This window comes from Homo sapiens, chromosome 11, assembly GCF_000001405.40.
Source record: "Homo sapiens chromosome 11, GRCh38.p14 Primary Assembly".
In the NCBI taxonomy this organism is placed as follows: domain Eukaryota; kingdom Metazoa; phylum Chordata; class Mammalia; order Primates; family Hominidae; genus Homo; species Homo sapiens.
Genome location: NC_000011.10, coordinates 53,518,007 through 53,531,706, shown reverse-complemented (window position 1 = coordinate 53,531,706; position 13,700 = coordinate 53,518,007). Strand labels below are relative to the sequence as shown.

Here is a 13,700-nt window from a genome sequence, read left to right as displayed (position 1 = left end):
TCCGTTTGGTTTTTAGATGAAGTTATTTCCTTTACTACAGTAGGCCTCAAAGCAGTCCAAATCTCCAATCGCAGATTCTACAAAAACATTGTTTACAACCTGCTCTAACTATAGGAATGTTCAACTCTGTGAGTCGAATGCAATCATCACAAAGTAGTTTCTGAGAATGCTTCCATCTAGTTTTTATGTGAAGATTTCCTTTTCCACCACAGGACCCAAAACCCTCCAAATGTCCACTTGCAGATTCTAGAAAAAGAGGGTTTCAGAGCTGCTCTATCAAGAGGAAAGTTCAATTCCTGAAGTGGAACACAAACATCACAAAGCAGTTTCTGAGAATGCTCCTGTTTAGTTTTTCTGTGAAGATGAACCCGTTTCCAACGAAATCTTCACAGAGGTCCACATATCCACTTGCAGAATCCAAAGAAAGAGAGTTTCAAAACTGCTCCATCAACAGGATTGTTCACCTCTGTGTGTTGAATGCAGTCATCACAGGAAACATTCTGAGAATGCTTCTGTCTAGGTTTGATGTGAAGATATACCCCTTTCGAAGGAAGGCCACAAAGTGGTCCAAATATCCACTTACAGATTCTACAAAAAGAGTGTTTGAAAGCTGAACTATGAAAGCAAGGTTCAACTCTGTGAGTTGAATGCAAACATCACAAAGAAGTTTCTCAGAATGCTTCCGTGTAGTTCTGGGAAGTTTATCCCGTTTCCAACGAAATCCTCAGAGAGGTCCAAATATCCACTTGCAGATTCTACAGAAAGTGGGTTTGGAAACTGCGCCATCTAAAGCAATGTTCAGCTCTGTTTGTTCAATGCAATGATCACTAAGAATTGTCTGTGAATGCTTCCGTTTGGTTTTTAGATGAAGTTATTTCCTTTACTACAGTAGGCCTCAAAGCAGTCCAAATCTCCAATCGCAGATTCTACAAAAAGATTGTTTACAACCTGCTCTATCTATAGGAATGTTCAGCTCTGTGAGTCGAATGCAATCATCGCAAAGTAGTTTCTGAGAATGCTTCCATCTAGTTTTTATGTGAAGATTTTCCTTTTCCACACAGGCCTCAAAGCCCTCCAAATGTCCACTTGCAGATTCTAGAAAAAGAGGGTTTCAGAGCTGCTCTGTCAAGAGGAAAGTTCAATTCTTGAAGTGGAACACAAACATCACAAAGCAGTTTCTGAGAATGCTCCTGTTAATTTTTCTGTGAAGATGAACCCGTTTCCAACGAAATCTTCACAGAGGTCCACATATCCACTTGCAGAATCCAAAGAAAGAGAGTTTCAAAACTGCTCCATCAGCAGGATTGTTCACCTCTGTGAGTTGAATGCAGTCATCACAGGAAACATTCTGAGAATGCTTCTGTCTAGGTTTGATGTGAAGATATACCCGTTTCGAAGGAAGGCCACAAAGTGGTCCAAATATCCACTTGCAGATTCTACAAAAAGAGTGTTTGAAAGCTGAACTATGAAAGCAAGGTTCAACTCTGTGAGTTGAATGCAAACATCACAAAGAAGTTTCTCAGAATGCTTCCGTGTAGTTCTGGGAAGTTTATCCCGTTTCCAACGAAATCCTCAGAGAGGTCCAAATATCCACTTGCAGATTCTACAGAAAGTGTGTTTGGAAACTGCGCCATCTAAAGGAATGTTCAGCTGCTGTTAGTTCAATCCAATGATCACTAAGAATTGTCTGTGAATGCTTCCGTTTGGTTTTTAGATGAAGTTATTTCCTTTACTACAGTAGGCCTCAAAGCAGTCCAAATCTCCAATCGCAGATTCTACAAAAAGATTGTTTACAACCTGCTCTATCTATACGAATGTTCAACTCTGTGAGTCGAATGCAATCATCACAAAGTAGTTTCTGAGAATGCTTCCATCTAGTTTTTATGTGAAGATTTTCCTTTTCCACCACAGGCCTCAAAGCCCTCCAAATGTCCACTTGCAGATTCTAGAATAAGAGGGTTTCAGAGCTGCTCTGTCAAGAGGAAAGTTCAATTCCTGAAGTGGAACACAAACATCACAAAGCAGCTTCTGAGAATGCTCCTGTTTAGTTTTTCTGTGAAGATGAACCCGTTTCCAACGAAATCTTCACAGAGGTCCACATATCCACTTGCAGAATCCAAAGAAAGAGAGTTTCAAAACTGCTCCATCAGCAGGATTGTTCACCTCTGTGAGTTGAATGCAGTCATCACAGGAAACACTCTGAGAATGCTTCTGTCTAGGTTTGATGTGAAGATATACCCGTTTCGAAGGAAGGCCACAAAGTGGTCCAAATATCCACTTGCAGATTCTACAAAAAGAGGGTTTGAAAGCTGAACTATGAAAGCAAGGTTCAACTCTGTGAGTTGAATGCAAACATCACAAAGAAGTTTCTCAGAATGCTTCCGTGTAGTTCTGGGAAGTATATCCCGTTTCCAACGAAATCCTCAGAGAGGTCCAAATATCCACTTGCAGATTCTACAGAAAGTGTGTTTGGAAACTGCGCCATCTAAGGGAATGTTCAGCTCTGTTAGTTCAATCCAATGATCACTAAGAATTGTCTGTGAATGCTTCCGTTTGGTTTTTAGATGAAGTTATTTCCTTTACTACAGTAGGCCTCAAAGCAGTCCCAATCTCCAATCGCAGATTCTACAAAAAGATTGTTTACAACCTGCTCTATCTATAGGAATGTTCAACTCTGTGAGTCGAATGCAATCATCACAAAGTAGTTTCTGAGAATGCTTCCATCTAGTTTTTATGTGAAGATTTTCCTTTTCCACCACAGGCCTCAAAGCCCTCCAAATGTCCACTTGCAGATTCTAGAATAAGAGGGTTTCAGAGCTGCTCTGTGAAGAGGAAAGTTCAATTCCTGAAGTGGAACACAAACATCACAAAGCAGTTTCTGAGAATGTTTCTGTTTAGTTTTTATGTGAAGATGAACCCGTTTCCAACGAAATCTTCAAAGAGGTCCACATATCCACTTGCAGATTCCAAAGAAAGAGAGTTTCAAAACTGCTCCATCAGCAGGATTGTTCACCTCTGTGCGTTGAATGCAGTCATCACAGGAAACATTCTGAGAATGCTTTTCTGTCTAGGTTTGATGTGAAGATATACCCGTTTCGAAGGAAGGCCACAAAGTGGTCCAAATATCCACTTGCAGATTCTACAAAAAGAGTGTTTGAAAGCTGAACTATGAAAGCAAGGTTCAACTCTGTGAGTTGAATGCAAACATCACAAAGAAGTTTCTCACAATGCTTCCCTGTAGTTCTGGGAAGTTTATCCCGTTTCCAACGAAATCCTCAGAGAAGTCCAAATATCCACTTGCAGATTCTACAGAAAGTGGGTTTGGAAACTGCTCCATCTAAAGGAATGTTCAGCTCTGTTAATTCAATGCAATGATCACTAAGAATTGTCTGTGAATGCTTCCGTTTGGTTTTTAGATGAAGTTATTTCCTTTACTACAGTAGGCCTCAAAGCAGTCCAAATCTCCAATCGCAGATTCTACAAAAAGATTGTTTACAACCTGCTCTATCTATAGGAATGTTCAACTCTGTGAGTCGAATGCAATCATCACAAAGTAGTTTCTGAGAATGCTTCCATGCTAGTTTTTATGTGAAGATTTTCCTTTTCCACCACAGGCCTCAAAGCCCTCCAAATGTCCACTTGCAGATTCTAGAAAAAGAGGGTTTCAGAGCTGCTCTGTCAAGAGGAAAGTTCAATTCTTGAAGTGGAACACAAACATCACAAAGTAGTTTCTGAGAATGCTTCTGTTTAGTTTTTCTGTGAAGATGAACCCGTTTCCAACAAAATCTTCACAGAGGTCCACATATCCACTTGCAGAATCCAAAGAAAGGGAGTTTCAAAACTGCTCCATCAGCAGGATTGTTCACCTCTGTGAGTTGAATGCAGTCATCACAGGAAACATTCTGAGAATGCTTCTGTCTAGGTTTGATGTGAAGATATTCCCGTTTCGAAGGAAGGCCACAAAGTGGTCCAAATATCCACTTGCAGATTCTACAAAAAGAGTGTTTGGAAGCTGAACTATGAAAGCAAGGTTCAAGTCTGTGAGTTGAATGCAACATCACAAAGAAGTTTCTGAGAATGCTTCCGTGTAGTTCTGGGAAGTTTATCCCGTTTCCAACGAAATCCTCAGAGAAGTCCAAATATCCACTTGCAGATTCTACTCAAAGTGTGTTTGGAAACTGCTCTATCTAAAGAAATGTTCAGCTCTGTTAGTTCAATCCAATGATCACTAAGAATTGTCTGTGAATGCTTCCGTTTGGTTTTTAGATGAAGTTATTTCCTTTACTGCAGTAGGCCTCAAAGCAGTCCAAATCTCCAATCGCAGATTCTACAAAAAGATTGTTTACAACCTGCTCTATCTATAGGAATGTTCAACTCTGTGAGTCGAATGCAATCATCACAAAGTAGTTTCTGAGAATGCTTCCATCTAGTTTTTATGTGAAGATTTTCCTTTTCCACCACAGGCCTCAAAGCCCTCCAAATGTCCACTTGCAGATTCTAGAAAAAGAGGGTTTCAGAGCTGCTCTGTCAAGAGGAAAGTTCAATTCTTGAAGTGGAACACAAACATCACAAAGCAGTTTCTGAGAATGCTCCTGTTTAGTTTTTCTGTGAAGATGAACCCGTTTCCAACGAAATCTTCACAGAGGTCCACATATCCACTTGCAGAATCCAAAGAAAGAGAGTTTCCAAACTGCTCCATCAGCAGGATTGTTCACCTCTGTGAGTTGAATGCAGTCATCACAGGAAACATTCTGAGAATGCTTCTGTCTAGGTTTGATGTGAAGATATACCCGTTTCGAAGGAAGGCCAGAAAGTGGTCCAAATATCCACTTGCAGATTCTACAAAAAGAGTGTTTGAAAGCTGAACTATGAAAGCAAGGTTCAACTCTGTGAGTTGAATGCAAACATCACAAAGAAGTTTCTCAGAATGCTTCCGTGTAGTTCTGGGAAGTTTATCCCGTTTCCAACGAAATCCTCAGAGAGGTCCAAATATCCACTTGCAGATTCTACAGAAAGTGTGTTTGGAAACTGCTCCATCTAAGGGAATGTTCAGCTCTGTTAGTTCAATCCAATGATCACTAAGAATTGTCTGTGAATGCTTCCGTTTGGCTTTTAGATGAAGTTATTTCCTTTACTACAGTAGGCCTCAAAGCAGTCCAAATCTCCAATCGCAGATTCTACGAAAAGATTGTTTACAACCTGCTCTATCTATAGGAATGTTCAACTACTGTGAGTCGAATGCAATCATCACAAAGTAGTTTCTGAGAATGCTTCCATCTAGTTATTATGTGAAGATTTTCCTTTTCCACCACAGGCCTCAAAGCCCTCCAAATGTCCACTTGCAGATTCTAGAATAAGAGGGTTTCAGAGCTGCTCTGTCAAGAGGAAAGTTCAATTCCTGAAGTGGAACACAAACATCACAAAGCAGTTTCTGAGAATGCTCCTGTTTCGTTTTTCTGTGAAGATGAACCCGTTTCCAACGAAATCTTCACAGAGGTCCACATATCCACTTGCAGAATCCAAAGAAAGAGAGTTTCAAAACTGCTCCATCAGCAGGATTGTTCACCTCTGTGAGTTGAATGCAGTCATCACAGGAAACATTCTGAGAATGTTTCTGTCTAGGTTTGATGTGAAGATATACCCGTTTCGAAGGAAGGCCACAAATTGGTCCAAATATCCACTTGCAGATTCTACAAAAAGAGTGTTTGAAAGCTGAACTATGAAAGCAAGGTTCAACTCTGTGAGTTGAATGCAAACATCACAAAGAATTTTCTCAGAATGCTTCCGTGTAGTTCTGGGAAATTTATCCCTTTTCCAACGAAATCCTCAGAGAGGTCCAAATATCCACTTGCAGATTCTACAGAAAGTGTGTTTGGAAACTGCTTCATCTAAAGGAATGTTCAGCTCTGTTAGTTCATTCCAATGATCACTAAGAATTGTCTGTGAATGCTTCCGTTTGGTTTTAAGATGAAGTTATTTCCTTTACTACAGTAGGCCTCAAAGCAGTCCAAATTTCCAATCGCAGATTCTACAAAATGATTGTTTACAACCTGCTCTATCTATAGGAATGTTCAACTCTGTGAGTCGAATGCAATCATCACAAAGTAGTTTCTGAGAATGCTTCCATCTAGTTTTTATGTGAAGGTTTTCCTTTTCCACCACAGGCCTCAAAGCCCTCCAAATGTCCACTTGCAGATTCTAGAAAAAGAGGGTTTCAGAGCTGCTCTGTCAAGAGGAAAGTTCAATTCCCTGAAGTGGAACAAAAACATCACAAAGCAGTTTCTGAGAATGCTCCTGTTTAGTTTTTCTGTGAAGATGAACCCGTTTCCAACGAAATCTTCACAGAGGTCCACATATCCACTTGCAGAATCCAAAGAAAGAGAGTTTCAAAACTGCTCCATCAGCAGGATTGTTCACCTCTGTGAGTTGAATGCAGTCATCACAGGAAACATTCTGAGAATGCTTCTGTCTAGGTTTGATGTGAAGATATACCCGTTTCGAAGGAAGGCCACAAAGTGGTCCAAATATCCACTTGCAGATTCTACAAAAAGAGTGTTTGAAAGCTGAACTATGAAAGCAAGGTTCAACTCTGTGAGTTGAATGCAAACATCACAAAGAAGTTTCTCACAATGCTTCCGTGTAGTTCTGGGAAGTTTATCCCGTTTCCAACGAAATCCTCAGAGAGGTCCAAATATCCACTTGCAGATTCTACAGAAAGTGTGTTTGGAAACTGCTCCATCTAAAGGAATGTTCAGCTCTGTTAGTTCAATCCAATGATCACTAAGAATTGTCTGTGAATGCTTCCGTTTGGTTTTTAGATGAAGTTATTTCCTTTACTACAGTAGGCCTCAAAGCAGTCCAAATCTCCAATCGCAGATTCTACAAAAAGATTGTTTACAACCTGCTCTATGTATAGGAATGTTCAAATCTGTGAGTCGAATGCAATCATCACAAAGTAGTTTCTGAGAATGCTTCCATCTAGTTTTTATGTGAAGATTTTCCTTTTCCACCACAGGCCTCAAAGCCCTCCAAATGTCCACTTGCAGATTCTAGAAAAAGAGGGTTTCAGAGCTGCTCTGTCAAGAGGAAAGTTCAATTCTTGAAGTGGAACACAAACATCACAAAGTAGTTTCTGAGAATGCTCCTGTTTAGTTTTTCTGTGAAGATGAACCCGTTTCCAACGAAATCTTCACAGAGGTCCACATATCCACTTGCAGAATCCAAAGAAAGAGAGTTTCAAAACTGCTCCATCAACAGGATTGTTCACCTCTGTGAGTTGAATGCAGTCATCACAGGAAACATTCTGAGAATGCTTCTGTCTAGGTTTGATGTGAAGATATACCCGTTTCGAAGGAAGGCTACAAAGTGGTCCAAATATCCACTTGCAGATTCTACAAAAAGAGTGTTTGAAAGCTGAACTATGAAAGCAAGGTTCAACTCTGTGAGTTGAATGCAAACATCACAAAGAAGTTTCTCAGAATGCTTCCGTGTAGTTCTGGGAAGTTTATCCCGTTTCCAACGAAATCCTCAGAGAGGTCCAAATATCCACTTGCAGATTCTACAGAAAGTGTGTTTGGAAACTGCTCCGTCTAAAGGAATGTTCAGCTCTGTTAGTTCAATCCAATGATCACTAAGAATTGTCTGTGAATGCTTCCGTTTGGTTTTTAGATGAAGTTATTTCCTTTACTACAGTAGGCCTCAAAGCAGTCCAAATCTCCAATCGCAGATTCTACAAAAAGATTGTTTACAACCTGCTCTATCTATAGGAATGTTCAACTCTGTGAGTCGAATGCAATCATCACAAAGTAGTTTCTGAGAATGCTTCCATCTAGTTTTTATGTGAAGATTTTCCTTTTCCACCACAGGCCTCAAAGCCCTCCAAATGTCCACTTGCAGATTCTAGAATAAGAGGGTTTCAGAGCTGCTCTGTCAAGAGGAAAGTTCAATTCCTGAAGTGGAACACAAACATCACAAAGCAGTTTCTGAGAATGCTCCTGTTTAGTTTTTCTGTGAAGATGAACCCGTTTCCAACGAAATCTTCACAGAGGTCCACATATCCACTTGCAGAATCCAAAGAAAGAGAGTTTCAAAACTGCTCCATCAGCAGGATTGTTCACCTCTGTGAGTTGAATGCAGTCATCACAGGAAACATTCTGAGAATGCTTCTGTCTAGGTTTGATGTGAAGATATACCCGTTTCGAAGGAAGGCCACAAAGTGGTCCAAATATCCACTTGCAGATTCTACAAAAAGAGTGTTTGAAAGCTGAACTATGAAAGCAAGGTTCAACTCTGTGAGTTGAATGCAAACATCACAAAGAAGTTTCTCAGAATGCTTCCGTGTAGTTCTGGGAAGTTTATCCCGTTTCCAACGAAATCCTCAGAGAGGTCCAAATATACACTTGCAGATTCTACAGAAAGTGTGTTTGGAAACTGCTCCATCTAAAGGAATGTTCAGCTCTGTTAGTTCAATGCAATGATCACTAAGGATTGTCTGTGAATGCTTCCGTTTGGTTTTTAGATGATGTTATTTCCTTTACTAGAGTAGGCCTCAAAGCAGTCCAAATCTCCAATCGCAGATTCTACAAAAAGATTGTTTACAACCTGCTCTATCTATAGGAATGTTCAACTCTGTGAGTCGAATGCAATCATCACAAAGTAGTTTCTGAGAATGCTTCCATCTAGTTTTTATGTGAAGATTTTCCTTTTCCACCACAGGCCTCAAAGCCCTCCAAATGTCCACTTGCAGATTCTAGAAAAAGAGGGTTTCAGAGCTGCTCTGTCAAGAGGAAAGTTCAATTCTTGAAGTCGAACACAAACATCACAAAGCAGTTTCTGAGAATGCTTCTGTTTAGTTTTTCTGTGAAGATGAACCCGTTTCCAACGAAATCTTCACAGAGGTCCACATATCCACTTGCAGAATCCAAAGAAAGAGAGTTTCAAAACTGCTCCATCAGCAGGATTTTTCACCTCTGTGAGTTGAATGCAGTCATCACAGGAAACATTCTGAGAATGCTTCTGTCTAGGTTTGATGTGAAGATATACCCGTTTCGAAGGAAGGCCACAAAGTGGTCCAAATATCCACTTGCAGATTCTACAAAAAGAGTGTTTCAAAGCTGAACTATGAAAGCAAGGTTCTACTCTGTGAGTTGAATGCAAACATCACAAAGAAGTTTCTCAGAATGCTTCCGTGTAGTTCTGGGAATTTTATCCCGTTTCCAACGAAATCCTCAGAGAGGTCCAAATATCCACTTGCAGATTCTACAGAAAGTGTGTTTGGAAACTGCGCCATCTAAAGGAATGTTCAGCTCTGTTAGTTCAATGCAATGATCACTAAGAATTGTCTGTGAATGCTTCCGTTTGGTTTTTAGATGAAGTTATTTCCTTTACTACAGTAGGCCTCAAAGCAGTCCAAATCTCCAATCGCAGATTCTACAAAAACATTGTTTACAACCTGCTCTATCTATAGGAATGTTCAACTCTGTGAGTCGAATGCAATCATCACAAAGTAGTTTCTGAGAATGCTTCCATCTAGTTTTTATGTGAAGATTTTCCTTTTCCACCACAGGCCTCAAAGCCCTCCAAATGTCCACTTGCAGATTCTAGAATAAGAGGGTTTCAGAGCTGCTCTGTCAAGAGGAAAGTTCAATTCCTGAAGTGGAACACAAACATCACAAAGCAGTTTCTGAGAATGCTTCTGTTTAGTTTTTCTGTGAAGATGAACCCGTTTCCAACGAAATCTTCACAGAGGTCCACATATCCACTTGCAGAATCCAAAGAAAGAGAGTTTCAAAACTGCTCCATCAGCAGTATTGTTCACCTCTGTGAGTTGAATGCAGTCATCACAGGAAACATTCTGAGAATGCTTCTGTCTAGGTTTGATGTGAAGATATACCCGTTTCGAAGGAAGGCCACAAAATGGTCCAAATATCCACTTGCAGATTCTACAAAAAGAGTGTTTGAAAGCTGAACTATGAAAGCAAGGTTCAACTCTGTGAGTTGAATGCAAACATCACAAAGAAGTTTCTCAGCATGCTTCCGTGTAGTTCTGGGAAGTTTATCCCGTTTCCAACGAAATCCTCAGAGAAGTCCAAATATCCACTTGCAGATTCTACAGAAAGTGTGTTTGGAAACTGCTCCATCTAAAGGAATGTTCAGCTCTGTTAGTTCAATCCAGTGATCACTAAGAATTGTCTGTGAATGCTTCCGTTTGGTTTTTAGATGAAGTTATTTCCTTTACTACAGTAGGCCTCAAAGCAGTCCAAATCTCCAATCGCAGATTCTACAAAAAGATTGTTTACAACCTGCTCTATCTATAGGAATGTTCAACTCTGTGAGTCGAATGCAATCATCACAAAGTAGTTTCTGAGAATGCTTCCATCTAGTTTTTATGTGAAGGTTTTCCTTTTCCACCACAGGCCTCAAAGCCCTCCAAATGTCCACTTGCAGATTCTAGAAAAAGAGGGTTTCAGAGCTGCTCTGTCAAGAGGAAAGTTCAATTCCCTGAAGTGGAACAAAAACATCACAAAGCAGTTTCTGAGAATGCTTCTGTTTAGTTTTTCTGTGAAGATGAACCCGTTTCCAACGAAATCTTCACAGAGGTCCACATATCAACTTGCAGAATCCAAAGAAAGAGAGTTTCAAAACTGCTCCATCAACAGGATTGTTCACCTCTGTGAGTTGAATGCAGTCATCACAGGAAACATTCTGAGAATGCTTCTGTCTAGGTTTGATGTGAAGATATACCCGTTTCGAAGGAAGGCCACAAAGTGGTCCAAATATCCACTTGCAGATTCTACAAAAAGAGTGTTTGAAAGCTGAACTATGAAAGCAAGGTTCAACTCTGTGAGTTGAATGCAAACATCACAAAGAAGTTTCTCAGAATACATCCGTGTAGTTCTGGGAAGTTTATCCCGTTTCCAACGAAATCCTCAGAGAGGTCCAAATATCCAGTTGCAGATTCTACAGAAAGTGTGTTTGGAAACTGCGCCATCTAAAGGAATGTTCAACTCTGTTAGTTCAATCCAATGATCACTAAGAATTGTCTGTGAATGCTTCCGTTTGGTTTTTAGATGAAGTTATTTCCTTTACTACAGTAGGCTTCAAAGCAGTCCAAATCTCCAATCGCAGATTCTACAAAAAGATTGTTTACAACCTGCTCTATCTATAGGAATGTTCAACTCTGTGAGTCGAATGCAATCATCACAAAGTAGTTTCTGAGAATGCTTCCATCTAGTTTTTATGTGAAGATTTTCCTTTTCCACCACAGGCCTCAAAGCCCTCCAAATGTCCACTTGCAGATTCTAGAAAAAGAGGGTTTCAGAGCTGCTCTGTTAAGAGGAAAGTTCAATCTCTTGAAGTGGAACACAAACATCACAAAGCAGTTTCTGAGAATGCTTCTGTTTAGTTTTTCTGTGAAGATGAACCCGTTTCCAACGAAATCTTCACAGAGGTCCACATATCCACTTGCAGAATCCAAAGAAAGAGAGTTTCAAAACTGCTCCATCAGCAGGATTGTTCACCTCTGTGAGTTGAATGCAGTCATCACAGGAAACATTCTGAGAATGCTTCTGTCTAGGTTTGATGTGAAGATATACCCGTTTCGAAGGAAGGCCACAAAGTGGTCCAAATATCCACTTGCAGATTCTACAAAAAGAGTGTTTGAAAGCTGAACTATGAAAGCAAGGTTCAACTCTGTGAGTTGAATGCAAACATCACAAAGAAGTTTCTCAGAATGCTTCCGTGTAGTTCTGGGAAGTTTATCCCGTTTCCAACGAAATCCTCAGAGAGGTCCAAATATCCACTTGCAGATTCTACAGAAAGTGTGTTTGGAAACTGCGCCATCTAAAGGAATGTTCAGCTCTGTTAGTTCAATGCAATGATCACTAAGAATTGTCTGTGAATGCTTCCGTTTGGTTTTTAGGTGAAGTTATTTCCTTTACTACAGTAGGCCTCAAAGCAGTCCAAATCTCCAATCGCAGATTCTACAAAAAGATTGTTTACAACCTTCTCTATCTATAGGAATGTTCAACTCTGTGAGTCGAATGCAATCATCACAAAGTAGTTTCTGAGAATGCTTCCATCTAGTTTTTATGTGAAGATTTTCCTTTTCCACCACAGGCCTCAAAGCCCTCCAAATGTCCACTTGCAGATTCTAGAAAAAGAGGGTTTCAGAGCTGCTCTGTCAAGAGGAAAGTTCAATTCCTGAAGTCGAACACAAACATCATACAGCAGTTTCTGAGAATGCTCCTGTTTAGTTTTTCTGTGAAGATGAACCCGTTTCCAATGAAATCTTCACAGAGGTCCACATATCCACTTGCAGAATCCAAAGAAAGAGAGTTTCAAAACTGCTCCAACAGCAGGATTGTTCACCTCTGTGAGTTGAATGCAGTCATCACAGGAAACATTCTGAGAATGCTTCTGTCTAGGTTTGATGTGAAGATATACCCGTTTCGAAGGAAGGCCACAAAGTGGTCCAAATATCCACTTGCAGATTCTACAAAAAGAGTGTTTGAAAGCTGAACTATGAAAGCAAGGTTCAATTGCTGTGAGTTGAATGCAAACATCACAAAGAAGTTTCTCAGAATGCTTCCGTGTAGTTCTGGGAATTTTATCCCGTTTCCAACGAAATCCTCAGAGAGGTCCAAATATCCACTTGCAGATTCTACAGAAAGTGTGTTTGGAAACTGCGCCATCTAAAGGAATGTTCAGCTCTGTTAGTTCAATGCAATGATCACTAAGAATTGTCTGTGAATGCTTCCGTTTGGTTTTTAGATGAAGTTATTTCCTTTACTACAGTAGGCTTCAAAGCAGTCCAAATCTCCAATCGCAGATTCTACAAAAAGATTGTTTACAACCTGCTTTATCTATAGGAATGTTCAACTCTGTGAGTCGAATGCAATCATCACAAAGGAGTTTCTGAGAATGCTTCCATCTAGTTTTTATGTGAAGATTTTCCTTTTCCACCACAGGCCTCAAAGCCATCCAAATGTCCACTTGCAGATTCTAGAAAAAGAGGGTTTCAGAGCTGTTCTGTCAAGAGGAAAGTTCAATTCTTGAAGTGGAACACAAACATCACAAAGCAGTTTCTGAGAATGCTCCTGTTTAGTTTTTCTGTGAAGATGAACCCGTTTCGAAGGAAGGCCCCAAAGTGGTCCAAATATCCACTTGCAGATTCTACAAAAAGGGTGTTTGAAAGCTGAACTATGAAAGCAAGGTTCAACTCTGTGAGTTGAATGCAAACATCACAAAGAAGTTTCTCAGAATGCTTCCGTGTAGTTCTGGGAAGTTTATCCCTTTTCCAACGAAATCCTCAGAGAGGTCCAAATATCCACTTGCAGAATCTACAGAAAGTGTGTTTGGAAACTGCTCCATCTAAAGGAATGTTCAGCTCTGTTTGTTCAATCCAATGATCACTAAGAATTGTCTGTGAATGCTTCCGTTTGGTTTTTAGATGAAGTTATTTCCTTTACTACAGTAGGCCTCAAAGCAGTCCAAATCTCCAATTGCAGATTCTACAAAAAGATTGTTTACAACCTGCTCTATCTATAGGAATGTTCAACTCTGTGAGTCGAATGCAATCATCACAAAGTAGTTTCTGAGAATGCTTCCATCTAGTTTTTATGTGAAGATTTTCCTTTTCCACCACAGGCCTCAAAGCCCTCCAAATGTCCACTTGCAGATTCTAGAAAAAGAGGGTTTTA

At 40.1% G+C, this 13,700-nt stretch overlaps 1 annotated feature.

The window, feature by feature from the left end:
* Positions 1–13,700: part of a centromere (Linear centromere model derived predominantly from reads generated in PMID: 17803354. This region does not represent an actual centromere sequence, as long-range ordering of repeats and unmapped WGS contigs is not provided by the model. For details of model production, see http://arxiv.org/abs/1307.0035.) that runs on past both edges of the window.